This window comes from Homo sapiens, chromosome 17 (assembly GCF_000001405.40).
Source record: "Homo sapiens chromosome 17, GRCh38.p14 Primary Assembly".
Taxonomy (NCBI): Eukaryota; Metazoa; Chordata; class Mammalia; order Primates; family Hominidae; genus Homo; species Homo sapiens.
In genome coordinates, this window is record NC_000017.11 from 54910235 (window position 1) to 54928628 (window position 18394).

At 39.3% G+C, this 18394-nt stretch overlaps 1 protein-coding gene and 1 long non-coding RNA gene across 10 annotated transcripts in view, besides 1 other annotated feature; one reads left to right on the plus strand and one right to left on the minus strand.

Annotated features, from left to right (window-relative positions):
• The window catches only part of TOM1L1 (target of myb1 like 1 membrane trafficking protein), a 61105-nt gene that overhangs the window by 9383 nt on the left and 33328 nt on the right, over nucleotides 1-18394 (plus strand). For all 9 annotated transcript variants that reach the window (XR_243612.4, NM_001321175.2, NM_005486.3 and 6 more), the window contains 4 exons: nucleotides 2432-2581; nucleotides 3514-3639; nucleotides 4405-4509; nucleotides 5512-5628. Coding sequence is in view for 8 of the 9 variants with exons in the window: in NM_005486.3 (NP_005477.2) it covers nucleotides 2432-2581; nucleotides 3514-3639; nucleotides 4405-4509; nucleotides 5512-5628 (498 nt within the window). In the remaining variant the exon portion in view is untranslated. The remainder of the gene's footprint in view (nucleotides 1-2431; nucleotides 2582-3513; nucleotides 3640-4404; nucleotides 4510-5511; nucleotides 5629-18394) is intronic.
• LOC124904032 (uncharacterized) lies at nucleotides 9718-10922 on the minus strand. Its single transcript, XR_007065853.1, has 2 exons — nucleotides 10428-10922; nucleotides 9718-10046 (listed from the first exon to the last, which is right to left on the minus strand). It is a non-coding gene; the product is annotated as an uncharacterized LOC124904032 (long non-coding RNA).
• Nucleotides 10781-10840: an enhancer, noted in NCBI's record as "active region_12407". NCBI's record gives its function as "activates an Ori minimal core promoter by ATAC-STARR-seq in GM12878 lymphoblastoid cells {active_cell/tissue: GM12878}" and the evidence as "EXISTENCE:reporter gene assay evidence [ECO:0000049][PMID:35858748]".

Consider the following 18394-nt stretch of genomic DNA (forward strand, 5'->3'; position numbering starts at 1 on the left):
CACTTGAGGCTAGGAGTTTGAGACCAGCCTGGCCAGTATGGCGAAAACCCATGTCTACTAAAAATACAAAAATTAGCTGGGCATGGTGGTGCACGCCTGTAATCTCAGCTACTTGGGAAGCCGAGGCATGAGAATCACCTGAACCGGAGAGGCAGAGGTTGCAGTGAGTCGAGATTGCGCCACTGCACTCCAGCCTAGGTGACAGAGTGAGACCCTGTCTCAAACAAACAAACAAACAAAAATTGGTTTGCGAATTATTTAGCAAGAAATACACCTAGGGAGAGTGAGACTTGGAGGCTAGGTATTTGCGTAAGACGGTACAACTAGTTAGGTGAAATATTTCTGTAAACTCACATTGAGCTAGAAGCACTTTTCCTTTTAGGATTTCGCCCGTTAAAAATTCATTATAATAATCCATCAAGCTAAATGGCATGTTATTCAACTTTCCAACTTTGTCTCACCAAACTGTACAGATTCATCTTAATATGTTTTGGATTTTGTTTTTATTTTTCTTTGCCTTAAAGGTTTTCCCTGTGTTTCACACAGCTGCATGTTTCTATATTTTCTGATTATTTCTTGGTCACAGTGCCTTAAAACTATAGCGTTTTAAGTATAACTTAAACGCTATATGCTGCCGCTTTATGTATTGCCATTAAAGAGAGACTAAAAATACAAAGCATGGCATGAAGTCCATTTTCAGGGCTTCTATTCTGCAGAGATGATTATACCTATCCTGGTCATGCTATGGTTTCTATGACCTTTCTAATTTGAGGTGGTAGCATGGAAACTAAAGATTTAATTTTGTTTTTAGTTTACTTTTAGAAATCTACTTCCTGCATGCAGTTCTTCAGTATTGGTTCATTCTTTCTTAGTCAAGTTTCTGCTCATGTTGCTTTATTGCAAATGTGTTTTTCAAGGGAACTGATGTTCCTCAGACCATCTTCTTAACTGTATAACACCCCATCCTCCAGGAAACTTTTCTTTTGACTTTACCAAAGGGGTGCCTTATGTATTCCTGATTTTGTGCTTCATTTTCTGTCAGTTACTCTTTGATTGCCTTCCTTGGATTTTCGTTGGCCCGTATAGTAGGTGAACCCCAGTGTTTCAGCCCTTCCTCTTCTCTTCTCATTGTAGGCAGCCTTGATGACTCACTTTTGGCCCTTCACTCTCTTGAACTATAGCTGTGTGTGTCCAGCTCACTGCTAAACACCTACTTAAATGCCCCTTATCTTTTGAACTCAAAATATCTAAATTTCAGCCCATCATTTTTACACCTAGACCAGCCATACCACCCCCTCTTCCAAATTTCCGTCACAGGGGTCCTCATGCAGAATGAGAGTCACTTAACTTTCAGTCATCTTCCTTTTTTGACCAGCACTGTCATTCAAAGTTCTTCCTTCATAATGGTGTCATGACTCCTCCTTTTCTTGTACCCACATCATCTTAGTTTAGGCCTTTTCTATAACATGCCTGAAATAGTGCATTGCTACTGGATCTTTCTATCATTCCAGGTTTCTTCTCCCTCCGCTTGCCTTTGCAGAGTGCTGCCTGACAACCTATCCAGAATATTACTTTGCACACATTAACCTTTTCCTCAATTTCAGGGTACAGGTGTGATGGTGACAAACTAACAGAGACCCTCCATAACTTCATAGTGCCTTCAAGATAATATCCACACCCTTTGCATGCCACACAAACTTCTCTACAACCTGGACGGACTTTATCCACCCTATCTTTCCAGTGTCCCCAATTTACCTATATCAGGATGCCTCTACTAGAGACAGACCAGAATACTTATCTCCCCCTTCATAACTTACCCATTTTTCCACATTTATATATTTTTCATACAATTTATCTGTCTAGAATATAGCTCTATACTCATTTTTACTGTTCTTAGCCATTTTGCAAAGCCCAGCTTCCAGTTAGCCTTTTCCAAAAGTCTTGTAAGACCACCTAGCCCTAAATAATCACTCTTGCCTATAAGGGCCTATAGCTGGGGTGACTGTGTAATTTATCATCCAAACCAGGACATTTTTGAAAGTGAAAGGGTGTGTCATCATTAATAAACAGGACATTGGGAATATACCTGTGCTACCCTGGGTAAACTGGGACAGATATTATTCCATCCATAGCTCATATGTTTGGCCTGCACGTCCCTTCAGCATTTAGCATTTAGTACTCTGCATTGGTGTTAATGCCCTTCTGGATGTGCTGGGACTCCTCAATAAGTCTGTCCTCCAGACTGTTACATTATGCTCATACTTCCACATATCCCCAGAACCTAACATTTTGCCATATATTTTAGTAGATACTAAATTATGTTTGTTAATTAGGATGCTGATGGAACCCATTATTTAGCAGTTTTTCCCTTACATTTTTAGGAGGTGGTTTTGCCAGATAAATATAATGTTTAATTTTTTTTCTAATTTAGCTTATTGACATGTGTGTGCAGAACTGTGGTCCAAGTTTCCAGTCTCTGATTGTGAAGAAGGAATTTGTTAAAGAGAATTTAGTTAAGCTACTGAATCCCAGATACAACTTGCCATTAGACATTCAGAATAGAATCTTGAATTTCATTAAGGTAAGTCTGTTGTATACCTCATGGGATGGTAAATTTCTAAGATTAGGGATTTAATAGCTTACCTCCTGATTGTTTCACTTATCTTTTATATATCTAGGATTGAGCTAGAAAAGCATTTTTGCTATTTTAGTTTCTGTGTAATAATAATTTTTTGGCATTGGATGGTGCCCTTTTTCTGAAGAATTTGTAGTCATTTCCCTGCTTTCCTCTCAGTTTCTATTTTATCTGTGTCAAATAGGAAAGACAGTGATCTGTGTGTTCACTTTGCAGGTAGGGAAACTTCCAGCTAACTGACTAGTTCAAGGTTACTTGGAAAAAGAGCTACTGATGTTATTTTAGAATCTATTAATTTTGGATTCAGAGCAGCAAAAAACAATTGATAGTATATATCCTAGGGTTTCTTCAAGATTTTGAGGCATGGAAATCTGATTTAAAAGATTTTATATTTTCCTAGCCTTTGAAAATGAGCATTTTGCCCATGGCATTCAAAAGTAGCTTTCTCTTTCTGAGTGGGGTACATAATTATTGATCTCTTATTTTCTATCAGGAGCTTAAGAATTGTGTTTTCGGCTGGGTGCGGTGGCTCACGCCTGTAATCCCAGCACTTTGGGAGGCCGAGGTGGGCAGATCACAAGGTCAGGAGTTCGAGAGCAGCCTGGCCAACATAGTGAAACCCCGTCTCTACTAAAAAATACAAAAAGTAAGCCAGGCGTGGTGGCGGGCGCCTGTAATCCCAGCTACTCAGGAGGCTGAGGCAGGAGAATCGCTTGAACCCAGGAGGCGGAGATTGCAATGAGCAGAGATTGTGCCATTGCACTCCAGCCCGGGCAATAGTGTGAGACTCTGTCTCAAAAAAAAAAAAAAAAAAAAGAATTGTGTTTTGGTTTTGTTGCTGTTTTAACTCTGGAACTTTTTTCATCTCTTGAATTCAGACTTGGTCACAGGGCTTCCCAGGAGGTGTGGATGTAAGCGAAGTCAAAGAAGTATACCTCGACCTGGTTAAGAAAGGCGTTCAGTTTCCTCCCTCAGAAGCAGAGGCTGAAACAGCAAGACAAGAGGTAGGAGGCCTTTCTTTGACCCATGGAGACTATAGTAGTGTATCACTTGGGTCTTTTCTCATTACAGGAGACAACCCTAAATCCACCCAGCTTAAGCAAAAAGATGAAGTTATTAGAAGGATATTGCAATATCTCATAGAATAACCGAGACTTGGGATTTTGCTACTTAAAGTGTGTTTTGCTACTAAAAGTATGAAAGTTTGTTTGGCATGTTCCACCCTAGACTAATCAGAACCTCCCTTTTTACAAGATTTCCAGGTGTTTTCTCTGCACATTAATGTTGAGAAGCACTGGCCTAGAGCCTTGAGCTTTCACCTCTCCACCCAAGGTTGGAGATGTGGCATTGACCCAAGGAGGGTCATTGATGGAGAAGGAGATGCCTTGTCAGCTGTGGCTTAAAAGGACTTGACATGAATTGAGCTACCATTTGTTATTAACAACCCAAAGAGAAGGCATCAATAATCTCACATGGCAGTTTATCACTTAGACCCTTGGTTAAAAAAAAAAAAAAAAGGGCATTTTATTAAATTGTAAATGATAATCCTAATAGCCACCTTTTGTTGAATACCTGCTTTATTATGGGCATGTCATTTGCTTAGCATTCTTCACAAAATGCTGGACGGGTTGTGTAGCTGATGATTTACTCTGGGCAGATACCCTGTACACAGGACTTTGAGAGTGCTTGAGTTAGCTGAATGGAAAAAACTTGGCGTTGGGTGGCTATGTTAATTCACATAATAATATTACCATGTTTCATACTCATAGACTGCTCAAATCTCATCAAATCCTCCAACATCTGTCCCTACTGCACCAGCTCTTTCTTCTGTAATTGCTCCAAAGAACTCGACTGTTACATTGGTCCCAGAACAGGTAACAACAACAATCATTGCATTTAATTGATGTCTTTTCCTGATTTGTAAGCACCTTATATACAGTTTGTCTTTTCTGGTTAACAACATTGAGATGTAGGTACACTCATTTCACAGAGGAAGAGACTGAGGCTTAGTAATACTATGTGACTTACCATAGTTCAGTTCCAAGAAGGAGTAATCCCATGGGTTCTGTCTGCTTCCAAAGCCCAACTTTGTAAGAGTTGTGCTTGCCTAGCGGCTTTCATGGCTTTCTGGAGCCTTGACTGTGGACTGGATCTAGGGTCCATCAGCTAATTCCTGTTACTTCTGGTAGGACTGTCACATATTTCAGAGAGTTTAGTAAATGGTAGTCTTATTACTTGTATTTATTATGCCAACTGAATTGTATTTACTTCTTTGTGTATATCAGTTTATCCAAGGTACCGATAAACAATTATTATATGAGGCTAATTTCCGTTCTGCTGTAAAGGAACTATAATTGAAGATTTTGTTGTATTATTTTTTTCTTATATAAAAATGCATGTGACTAATTCCTCTTAGAATTTAATACAGGAAGAAAAGGTGTTTCTTTATTCCTTCTTCTTTAATACCATGAGAACTGGATAACCCTCATTTGTTTTTCTTTTACCCTATTGGTTGCCAAGAAACTCAGGATAACTTTTGCCATTTTATCCAGGTTTCTGGTACCTTCTTCTGCTAGGTACCTGGTACTTCTCCCCTCTCCATATTGGGTTCTAATCTTTTTTTTTCCTTTCATTTTTAAAATTCCTAAAGCATATTTTGGGGTTTATTACAAGAGATCTCAAGTCCTTTTAGAAGGTGACAAGGTATACATTTGTAAAATAACTATATGTATATTTATATGAAATTAAATTTAAGTTTGAAAATATTAAATTTTGCAAAAGCATTTTTTCATCCAGCAAATGTCCCATGGGGGCAGGAAACAAGGTAGTTATTCTTTGTGTGTCGCACTGACTGGTGATTGTGTTGCTCTCTACAGATTGGAAAACTGCACAGTGAATTGGATATGGTGAAAATGAATGTGCGAGTGATGTCCGCCATATTGATGGAGAATACTCCTGGGTCTGAAAACCATGAAGACATAGAGCTTCTGCAGGTGTTGTACGATTTCAGGGACTATCAGTCAAAGTGTCTCTTAAAGTTATTCTCTAAACTTTGAGTTTGGAGATGGAAGACACCTTAATATTGTCTAGTACATCCTCCTACATCCTGATTTCAGTTGATTTCTAAACTTAACAAAAATATCCAAGAATGACTTTGTCAGAAATGCAGTAGTAACTTAGACATGGTTTTTAGCCTCTTGCAACAAATAATTTATTATAAGTTATAACCTTGGTCATGTACAATCAATTCTCTAGTTGTTTTAAGTATGTAAAAATTGCCTCTATTTTCATCCACTCAACAAACATTGAGTAACTGTGATATAGGAAGGGATGTAGAAATGAGAAGGAGGCTATTCTAGTCCTTAAGAGTTTATGCCTAATGAGCAAGATTGGTTTGTAAACAACAAACATAATGAAGTATTATAGATACTGTAGTATAAATTTGTTCAGTATATGGTGGGATCATGGGTGGGGAGAAGGAGAGATGTGAGGTTTTTAAGAATGGTCTAGATGGAGGCAATGCTCGAGCTATAGAGGAACAAGTAGACAGGGCATTTAGACCTGCATGAGTAGTTCTACAGCCCTCCTATGCCTTCTGCTATGTCTGTGTATACATATACTTTATTTTTCCCTCTACCAGTTTGCTCTTCTAATTATTTTAAATTTTAAAACTTATTAATTTTAGAAGCAGTTAGAAAAAAAAATCAGTTTCTAGTTTCTAAGTCCCTTTGTTGCCAAGTTAAGAAGCTTAAGATATTTTTACTTTTCTCAGATTCCCACTCGCCACCTCTCATGTTATTTTTCCTTTAACTTCTTAGATTGTTAGTAAATAACTTTTTCCTTGCTCATTTCTTATTTGGGAAACAAAAAAATTGTAAAAATTTTCCCAACAATGTTTCTTAGATATCACTGCTGTCGTGAATAGTTTGTTTTTTCCTTGCTGCAGTACACCCATGTTGGTAAACTTTGGTGCAAACTTTGAGTGCTTGCATATCCAAAAATGTCCTCTGATTGTCATGTTAAATGCAGGTTAGTTTAGCTAGATATAAAATTCTAGGCACAAAATTCTAGGCCTTTGAAGATACTGCTTCACTGTTCTCTTACACCCACTAATGCTGATAGAAGTATTATATTATTCTGCTTCTTAATCCTTTGATTAATAATATTTTTTTCTAGTTGCATTTGTTATTTTTCTACGTTAATATTTCAGAAATTGTACTGTTCCCTCTGAAGAGATATATGTACATGTGTGCAGATGTTTGTTTAACTTACTTATCTTCCTTAGTAGATGATAGGCTTTTTTGCCTTATCAACTTATGTGTATTTTTAATTCTAGGAATTCTCAGCTCCTACTTTAAATATTGACTTTCTACCATTCTTTCTATTCTCTTCTTATGGAACTTTAAGACGATGAAACTTCCAGTTGGATTCATTTGTCTCTTAACATTTCTTTTATACTTTTCATTTCTTCATTCTAAGTTCTGGGATAATTTCTCTGTTTAATGTATTTCTCTAAAACTTGTAATTGAGTTGCTTATTCAGTCCTTCTAATAAATGTTTCAACAATTTCTTTCTATTAAAAATATGTACTTTAAACATATTTACTATATACAAATATGTACATAATTTTAAAATATTTTTAAAATATGTTGGATTTTTATAACAGTTCTTTCATTTCATGGTTCTGCTTTTCTTTATCTTTCCAAGGATAATAATTATATTTAACGCTGCTTTTTTGTTTGTTCTGTGGACTCTCCTTTGCAAATTTTTTGTTCATTTTTTAATTTGCATTCTCCAGTGTTCAGCTGGATTGCTGATAGTGAGCTCATTTTTGTGTGAGACTCTCTGCCAGCTGGTCTGCATTCTCTGCTGACCCAGCTCACCCATGCTGAAGGGAGGATGTAATTGCTACTGCTGTGCTTGATAATATTTTCAGAGTATGGTATAGCAACATGGGATGATGCTGTTTGGGATCCATTTATGGATGGTCTTCTGGATTATGTATTCTCTATTTTTTTCCTGAATGCTACTAGTGCCTAGAAATAATACCCTATCCCTCTGTCCCAATCATTGTTTCCACCTGGAAACATTACTCCTTTCTCAGCTATCTGGTCTCAAATGAGAGAAGGGGCATGAGCAGGGGTTGTCTTTCCTGGTTATTTCACTGCCGTACCTCAACCAATCTGTTAGAGCCCCTTGTGCTTCTTGGCTTCTGGCTTTTAGGCATGGAGCACCCTTCATATTCCTTCCATGTTCTAGGCAGTACTCACTGTGGGCAACCTTGAATGTCCTGAATTGTGCTGTCCTCTAATTTAAGAGTTAGCAAACTGTGGCCTATGGGCCAAATCTGGGCCTTGCTCTCTTTTATGCTGTCTCCAGGCTCAGAAGGCTTTTTAAAGGGTTGTTTAAAAAATAATAAAAACAAACAAAACAGCTAGAGGTCATTTCTCCTATATCCATGCAAACCTATACCCAGAGACCCCTGGGAACTCAGATATTCCTCTTAAGGAACTCATTGCCATGCCCCACCCCACTGTTAATGGATATGAGTTTGTGGTATCGCTCAGGTGTGTAGGGATGAGAAGAGGATTTAAACCACAACGTGGGAGTATAAAATTCCAGGTGAGGTAAGAGCTGACCTGTACAAGTAATGGAGTATCATGCCATGCCAAAGAGTGGGCTTAACCAGACTGGCAGAGGGGAGCTGTTGAAAGGATATAAGCTGAGGGGCTACATAACCAGGTCAGATTTTAGAAAAATCCTCTGGTGGTGTTGTGATGACAGATTCTCAGGAAGCAAGACAAGACTCTAGAAAACAACTTAAGAGAGTATTTCTCATTGGTTGTATGCTGTGTTCTGTGGGTAGAAAGTGGCATCTTTGGTCAAATAAGTTTGTAAAACCAATTGTCTACTGTATTTCTCCTCTTGGAGATGCATAAAGTTCACTGATACAGCTAAGAGTCTTTGTTTAACCCAACATTTATAAACTTATTTATCCAAAGAATCCCAATTTGCCAAATATCTGCTAATATTCTGCAGAACATCAGGGTAGTATACCTTGAGAAATGAATCAGTATTTTGGATCCGTGGCTTTAAGTATATTATTTTTGGAATATCTTAGAATTGTAACATTTTGCTAAGGATCCTTGGGGTTCTTGACCTTAGGCAAGTCATTTACTATCACTGGACTTAGTTTATGTATAAAATGAAGAGCTTAGATGACAGTAAGCAAGAGTAATATTAAATATATCCTCTTTATGTGGGATGTAAAAAGGAAAATTCATCATTAAATAGATTTCAAAGGTAGTAGTCCACAATGGCGGCTTTTCCAGATATAAACTTTTTAACTTATGATGTTAACACGTGTGTTAAACTAAAATTGAAAAATTAAATATCAAAGTAAACGGATATGTGGCAGATAATATTTTTTAAATAGCCACAGCAATATTTCTAGTTCCACCTGGTCTTCCTGGGCCTTTCAGAGCTCTAAAATGAAATGATTTATGACTTTTTCTCTCATATTCTCATCCATCTGTGGCAAACAATCCTTCAGTAAAAACACACTGAAACATTTCATTTAAATATGTGAATCCAGTTTTATATTTTATTCCAATCTGAAGTGCTTTGTCTCAGGGTGTTTGGGTGCAGATGTTTGGTTGAATTTTTCAAGGATAATGCTAATTTGTTGGTTGCTGTTTTAATGCCAGAGCTCAGGGCTGTGTTTTGCCTTGAATAGTAAAGAGTCTTAGGTTATAAATCAACATGAGAATACTACTCATGGCCAAATTCAAATTGAATAGGTTCTGGCAGGGGATCAACTTGTTTATAGAGACTGTTGAATGTGGAATGTTATTTTTCTTTGTATACTTTTTGTTAGTGACATATAAAGATCTGGTGTGGGGAGTGCTATTCTTAATTTCTTTTGACAAATAATTTTTTTTTTACATCTAAATAACTCCACTATGGTTGATCTGAAATAAATCAATTAAGTCTTCTATGGAGAAAAAGGACAAGAAGCATATCTGATTTAAGAATTTCAGAATGAAGTCAGCAAAGATAGACTGTGGGGAAATAGAGAATTCTTTTTTTGGTGTTTTTGGTTTTGGTTTTTTATTGATTTATTTATTTATTTATTTATTTTATTTATTCATTTTTTCCCCCTCTAACCCTATGTCATAAACAAAGAATTCTTTAGGGTGTATTTTTTCAAAGGTTTCTCATACCCATCTGAAGGAGTCACGTCAATACAGTTAGAACGCCCAGATAATACTGGCTCCCTGGTTGGCTGCCCCCTTATAACTGCAGGGGCTTTTGGAGGCTTCAGCATAAGCCTAGGGAGTCATCAGCAGGGTGGCACCCACCTTGGGGGTCAGTGAGGGCCCACGGGCATACTCTGATGGAAGGAGTACAACTGTAAAGAAGGAATAAAAGTATCTGAAATCAGCTATATGAATTGTAAAACAGGCATTTTTCTCCCCAAACCAACCAATATTCACAATTTTTTTTTAGCTTGCCAAAATTTACATCCTCTTTCTTCCCCAAATCCCATTGAAATGACAGAAGAAATATGAAAATAAAAATAAACCCCAAGGATTACAGAAAAGGCTAAACTGACCATCAGGCCTCCAGAACAGTGAGACTATTCAGTGCCTGATAAAGCAGGTGGGATCAGACCAGCTCAGAGCTCACAGCCCCACCCAGGTGAAAGAGACCCCTCCAAAGGACTTTTCCCAGAAGCAACCCATACTAACCTCAAAATCAGAGCAAGAATGAATAGGCCTTGGGCACTCACATGGTAAGGAAAACAACTGTCCTCTGTCCTCTGCTGTCTGAGCCGCTAAGTCAGGAGCAGGGAACTTCCAGGGTGGCTGTCAAGGCCAGAAAAAAGGACTCTCCTCCAAATAACTGCTGGTTTCCAAAAGAATCTAGGAATCTCTGCAGTTAGAAGAAAAATAATCAGCACTCATTAGGATTTTTTAAACTTTGAAGGCAGGCAGCCTCATCCCTAGAGAGGAGGATGTAGTAAGGCTGTTAGATTTCTCAGGAAAATTATGTATTTTCACTCTCTCCACCAAGAACCGACGCTGACATGATTTGGCTTGCCATCTCGCTTTGTGGGGCTGAGGTTTTTCTGATTCACTGACTTTCATAGGGCGTAGTCATGCAGGGGTTCCACCTGAGTATAGAAGGGGTTTTTGCTCCAGCTCCCCATCTTGTTTGCACCCCGGGCTTTGTCCTTTGCGTCTGCTGAGAACTCTACTGGAGATTGGCAGATGGGTGCCTTGTGAACCATTGTTTCTTTATTGCTGCTTGAGTCTTTAGATCTTATTTGGTTTTGAGCCTTTGAGGATTTCTCATGCTTTCTTGAAAGTGTAGGCACAAATGTTAAAATATTTTTAATATCTAGCATTTTTAGGTATTTTGTTATGAGAAAGGTTTTCAGGATATTGAGTACAGTGCTGTGCAAAAAATACAAATTCTATATAGCATTTTTTAAATTGAGGCAAAAAATTAACCATTATTTTAAATTATCACATAAAATTAACCATTTTAAAGGGTACAATTAAGTGGCATTTATATACATTCAGGGCCCGGCGTGGTGGCTCACATCTGTAATCCCAGCACTTTGAGAGGCCAAGGCGGGTGGATCACTTGAGGTCAGGAGCTCGAGACCAGCCTGGCCAACATGTGAAACTTTGTCTCTACTAAAAATACAAAATTAACCGGACATGGTGGTGGGCGCCTATAATCCCAGCTACTCAGGAGACTGAGGCACGAGAATGGCTTGAACCCGGAGGTTGCAGTGAGCAGAGATTGTGCCACTGCACTCCAGCCTCGGTAACAGAGGGAGACTCCATCTCAAAAAATAAAAATAAAATAAAATAAATATACATTCATTGTAACTACAGTTAACCCTTGAACAACACATAGCAGTTATGAGCACTGACCCCACAGTGTAGTTGAAAATTCATGTATAACTTTTGATTTTCCCAAAACTTAGCTACTAATAGCCTACTGTTGACCAGAAACCCTATCAATAACATAAACAGTCGATTCACACATATTATGTATGTTATATATGTTATGTGCTGTATTCTTAAAGTAAGCTAGAGAAAAGAAAATGTTATTAAGAAAATTGTAGGCTGGGCACAGTGGCTTATGCCTGTAATCCCAGCACTTTGGGAGGCCGAGGCAGGCGGATCATGAGGTCAGGAGGTGGAGACCATCCTGGCTAATACAGTGAAACCCCATCTCTACTAAAAAATACAAAAAATTAGCCAGGTATGGTGGTGGGCGCCTGTAGTCCCAACTACTTGGGAGGCTGAGGCAGTAGAATGGTGTGAACCCAGGAGGCGGAGCTTGCAGTGAGCCGAGATCAAGCCACTGCACTCCAGCCTGGGCAACAGAGCGAGGCTGTCTCAAAAAAATAAACAAAAAAAGAAAATTGTAAGGAAGGCTAGGCACAGTGGCTTACACCTGTAATCCTAGCACTCTGGGAAGCTGAGGCAGGAGGATTGCTTGCATCCAGAAGTTTGAGACCAGCCTGGGCAACATAGTGAGACTCTGTTGCTACAAAAAATAAATTAGCCAGGCATGGTGGTACATGCCTGTGGTCCCAGCTACTGGGGAGGCTGAGGTGGGAGGATCGCTTGAACCTGGGAGGTCGAGGCTGCAGTAAACCGTGATTGCACCATTGTTGGGCAACAGAGTGAGACCCTGTCTCAGTTTAAAAATTAAAAAAGAAAAATTTCTTTAAGAAAATTATAAGGAAGAGAACATATATTTACTATTCATTAAGTGGACGTGGGTCATAAAGGTCTTGATCTTTATCTTTTTGCTGAATGGGCTGAGAAGGAAGAAGAAGAGAAATTGATCTTTCTGTCTTGGGTGGCAGAGTCAGAAAACAATCCACCTCTCAGTGGAGCCATGCAGTTCAAACCCATGTTGTTCAAGGTTCAACAGTATTTCCTCTATTTAATTCCAATACATTTTCATTACCCCAAAAGGAAACCCCATGCTCATTAAGCAGCCTCTCCTTTCTGCCTTTCATCAGTTCCAGATAACCACCAATCTGGTTCTGTGTCTGTGGATTTACCTGTTCTGGACATTTCATATAGGTGGAATCACATAATATATGACTTTTTGTGTTTAGCATCTTTCACTTAGTGTTTTTGAGGTTCATCCATGTTGTAGCATGTATCAGAATTTTATTACTTTAATGGCCTAATATTTCATTGTATATCCCACGTTTTATATATCAGTTCATTAATAGACATTTAGGTTGTTTCCACCTTTGGCTATTGTGACTAATGCTGCTATGAACATTCACATACAGGTTTTTCTTTGAATACCTGTGTTCACTTCTTTTGAGTATCAACCTAAGAGTAGAATTGCTGGGTCGTATAGTAACTTTAACTTTTTGAGGAATTGTCAAAATGTTTTGCACAATGGCTGCACCATTGTATATTCTGTTAGCGGTATGCAGTACTACTAGGATTCCAGATTCTCCACAATGAATACTTGTTATTTTCCATTGTGTTTTTTTTAATGGCCCGCTGGTAGGTGTGAAGTGGTATCTCATTATGGTTTTGATTTTGATTTGTATTTGCATTTTCCTAATGACTAATGAATTTGAGTGTCTGTATTATAGTTTTTTATTTTTTAAATTAATTATTTTATTTATTTATTTTTTTGAGATGGAGTCTTGCTCTGTCACCCAGGCTGGAGTGCAGTGGCGCGATCTCGGCTCACTGCAACCTCTGCCTCCTGGATTTGAGCAATTCTCCTGTCTCAGCCTCCGGAGTAGCTGAGACTATAGGTGCCTGCCACCATGCCTGGCTAATTTTTGTATTTTTAGTAGATACAGGGTTTCACCATGTTGGCCAGGCTGGTCTCAAACTTCTGACCTCAGGTGATCTACCTGCCTTGGCCTCCCAAAGTTGTATTATAGCTTTTTAAAAGGTAATTAGCCAGGCATGGTGGCAGGTGCCTGTAATCCCAGCTACTCAGGAGGTTGAGGCAGTGAGCTGCCTGGGAGCTTGAACCTGGGAGGTGGAGGTTGCAGTGAGCTAAGATTGCACCACCGTACTCCAGCCTGGCGATACTACTTGTCAAAAAATAAAATAAAATAAATAAAATAAAATGTAAACCAGATCGTGTTGTTCCTTGCTGGAAACCCTCCATTGGCTTCCCATTATAGTTGGAGTAAAACTAGACCTCTCTAGTCTGGCCACAGAGCCCTTCTCGGTCGTCTTTAGCCTACTTCTGTTTCCGTGGCACGTGCTTGCTAACCTCCTTCCTATTCCTTGAGTGCACTGAGTTCATTCTTGCTGGGGAGTTGTTTCATCCCTGACTCTTATGCTTCCCTGTCTTCAAATGGCCAGCTTTTTCTTTTTCTTTTCTTTTCTTTTTTCTTTTTTTTTTTTTTGAGATAGAGTCTGACTCTGTCACTCAGGCTGGAGTGCAGTGGCACGATCTCTGCTCACTGCAACCTCCGCCTCCCATGTTCAAGTGATTCTCCTGCCTCAGCCTCCCGAGTAGCTGGGACTACAGGTGCCCGCCACCATGCCCAGCTATTTTTTGTATTTTTGGTAGAGATGGGGTTTCACTATGTTGTCCAGGCTGATCTCGAACTCTTTCTTATCATTCTGATCTTAGCATGTTACTCTCCTGAGAAGTCTTCTGTGACTCCCCAGTCTAAAATTAGCCACCGTCCTATCACATCACCATTTATTCACCTGGCACTCACAGTGTCTGACGCTTTTCTTGCATGGTCGTCAGCTGTCTTTGCCTACTAGAATGGAAATGCCAAAAGGCTTGTCTTGTTCATTACCAGGTTCTGGCTCCCAGATTAGTGCCTAACATGATGTAATCATTCAGTAAACAGGCTTAATGAATCAATAGCTTTCTTCCCCTGGATTTTATGTGACTTAAAATTCAAATCTGTATTCTTGGTATGAGATGGGGACTTTACCTTCATTTATTTTTTCAATTTGATGGCTGGTTGTCCAAATAACATCCATTAACAATTCACGCCTTCTCCAATGGTTTTAAATGCCCCTTTATCACATACGGTATATTCTAATTCAGGGTTGTCTTCTAGAGGCTATTCTCGAGGCTATTCTCGTCCCTTGACCTATTTGTGCCTAACTTGGCATCATACTATTTTCATTACTCTAAAGATGTGTTTTTATGCTTTCTAGGGTATATTAGCAAAGAGATGACATACTTCATTTGGGTAATTTGAAGAAAGCTTAATCAAAATACTGTTTATTTAGTAAGATGTTATAAAGTTCAGGGAAACTACAAGGGCTTGATCGCTACCCTGGATTATTAACTAATATCCCTAGAATTACATAGACAAGAAGAGGGCACTTTTGCCAGAACCTAGAGGAAAGAATAATGTGGGGGAGGGCAGACTTGAAAGCAGGGGTGCCTTTGGTGGAAGGAGTGGAAAGAATAAATATCCAGACCTCATTCTCCTTCCTTCCTCCTGTTTCCTGCCAGCCAGCATGCCTGTTGGCTGAACACAGAAGCAAGAAGACAGGGGATCTGGCGATGTGATCCCTACAAGCCAGGCCCCAGGGCACAGAGTTAAGGCAGAAAGTATGGACAGTGGATCTGGAGGGCCAAGGAAAGTTCTCCAGCAGAAAGGAAGAGCCTCCACTCAAAAATTTCTTGGCTGCTCTTGCACATATACTTCACCAGTGACCACAGTCTTATAGTATCAGTTTATTATAAAACCATCCTGAGGCCAGATGCGATGGAGCACGCCTGTAATCTCAGCACTTTGGGAGGCCAAGGTGGGCAGATCACCTGAGGTCAGGAGTTCGAGACCAGCCTGGCCAACATGGTGAAACCCCGTCTCTACTAAAAATACAAATATCAGCTGGGCGTGGTGGCACGCTCCTATAGTCGCAGTCACTCAGGAGGTTGAGGCATGAGAATCGCTTGAACCCGGGAGGCAAAGTTGCAGTGAGCTGAGATGGCACCACTGCACTCCAGCCTGGGTGACAGATCGAGACTCCCTCTCAAACAAAAAACAACAACAAAAAAAAAAGCAGCCTGTATACTTGGAAGTTCTTCCTGTTTTGGCTGTTTATACTTACCTTCTAGTAACTGTTCTGTTTCTTTGGAACCTATTCCTTGTCTGTTTTCTTTCATTTGAAATCCAGTATATTTACTTGGAATCCCCTTTCTGTTCCACCAACCCACACTGAACAATTAGATCCTGAAGCCCTACTAACTAAGAGGGTCTTGCTCTTTGTTAGACTCTTAGGCAGTAAAACCATTTTGTGCAGTAGACACATTTCCCCACCACTGTGTTGCTTGTAAACTTTGAACTTTTCATTAGGGATGAGGACTGGATTTTCTTTAGTTTTCTGAAGTGGAACGTGATGATTCTGAGACTCTATCCAGTCTAACAAGTGTTGTGATGAGTTAAAGGCAGCCACCTTGGCCATAGGAATGAAGAGTTGCAACATGTGTTTTGTGTATTTGCTTTCTTGGTGTTATGTACTCAGCTTTGGGCCACCTTCCTCTTATCTTGAATAGCTGACTTGTCCTGGTACCTCCCACTTTAATCTTTTTGTTTGTTTGTTTGTTTGTTTTTGCCTAGCACCAGTAAGACAAGAAGAGAATGCTCTAGTATTTAGAATAAAGGGAGCTCAGATTTTGAAATGACAACTACAGAAAGCCTTACTCTAACTTACTGGAGAAATTTAAAATCAAGGGAATCTGAAATTTGATCCTATGAGGATTGTAACCAGTTGAAAAAAAAAAAAAATCCTGAGAATAGGAAAAAGAAAGCCATCCTCCCAGACCATTCTTGTCTTTACCATTCAGAAATGTGTAAGATATTAAGAGTAGAAAGGACTGTCAGCATCTTTGAGTCCATCTCCCTTTCTTTGCAGTTGAGGCTGCATATGCAGAAAGAATAATTGCCCACACCATGACAAGTGGTGGAGCTGGAAGGAGAACTTCTTTCTCATGAGCTTATGTTCTATCCATTAGACCAACTAGTTTCTCATTTTGAACCCAGGACTGATTTTCTAGTATACCTGGCTAACCTATTGTGTTTTCATGTGGGTACGTGAGGCAATTTCAAGGCAGCAACCAAGTCCTGTACTATTTGCAGACACTGTTTTGTTGGAAAGAAGAGTTGGAAGGACTTTAATATGTTAATGCTTTTCTTAAGGATTATGCTGACAATTTGTCATTTGACTGAAGCCTGTATAAGGAAAGAGACTATATGAGCAAGTTAAGTTGAAAAATGTTTAGTTTTAGAGTAGGTGGGGAGAGTATTTACTTTGAGCAGATAGAGAAATTGGGGTTTCTTGCGCTTTGGGGAATACTGGGATGAAGAAAATATGTTATGGGCTGATAATAGGGATATTGCCATACAGATAGTATTTCCAGAGACATTTTAAAGCAAACACATTTCTTCGTGTTTTGGCTCTTTCAAGAGAGATATTCAAGCATTTTTGTGTTTCTTTTTATTGAGTTGCCCTCTCTTGGTCAATGTGGGATGACTGTAGTTGGAATTGAAAGTGCAGAGGGATCTCCTTCCTTAATTCCTGAGTGCTCTATGGAGGAGTAAGAGCCATCTGGATATCAGAAGAGGAAGCTCTTAATGAGCTCCTTTTTGTTTTGCTCCAAAGACTTTTGAATTGATTGTTAAATTCACTTTAACTTAGAAGCTTGCCTTTGCTTTTATATGGTATAAAAGGAGGCAATTCCGGGGTCTCCGTGATGGACATATGCACCAGCAGCTGTTGTTCTGTATTTTGACTTGCTCCCCTGGCTCCCCACATCCACAGCCCTGCAAGTGCCTGCTATGGGGAACTCTGACCTATCCCTTTTGTCCATGGTGCTTGATCTTGGCTTGGCTTCCAGGTGGCTTGGCCCTCCTCTGAGACAGACATCAATTGCAAAGATGAGAGTGGGCTGGCTTTTGAAGACGTTTTTCACATTCTGGTTTGCAGACCTGTTGAGATGTGCTACTCCTTTCATGTTTCCATTCCATCTGTCTCTTGAAAGGGCAAAGGGAGTGTCTTCATGTGACTGAGGGCTGTTGATGTTGGCTTCAAATTCATTTCAAATTAATTTCTACATTTTTGTCATAGGTATCAGCCATTGCATTCCCTTGATCTTGACATTGTTCTAGCAAGGCTGCCAGTGAGCAACAAGAAGACCAATTTCTGTACACTCTTTAAAGCAAGAACAAAGGAAAAGTTCTCATTCATTACGGGGGTTATATTAAATGCCATTCTTAATTCTTTGTAGAAGATTGGATCCTGGATAATAGCATATTACAGGATTGTATTCGTTATCTAGTTGAGCTTCTAGTGACACCCTGTCAAGCACCCATAATTCGTTTATTTACTACCGACTACCTCTGTATGCCAGACACTGTGGGGTTTCAATGGCACCATTGCCAATTCTTACAACAACCTTACAAGATAGCTGTTCTCCTTGTATTATAGATGGAAAAAAACCAAAAAAAAACAAAACAACAACAACAAAAAAACCTCAGGCTAAATTTTAGCCACATTTCCCCAACTTCCATAGCAGGCATATATATGGGAGATGCCTTTGGCACCTGAGTCCAAAGTTTTCTCTTTGCATTACACCAGGGGTATATAAAGGAACCAAATCTAGCCTGCCACCTATATCTGTTTTATTAGAACATGGCCACACCCAGTTATTTATATATTTTCCAGGGTTGCTTTTACACTACAGTGGCAGAGTTGAGCAGTT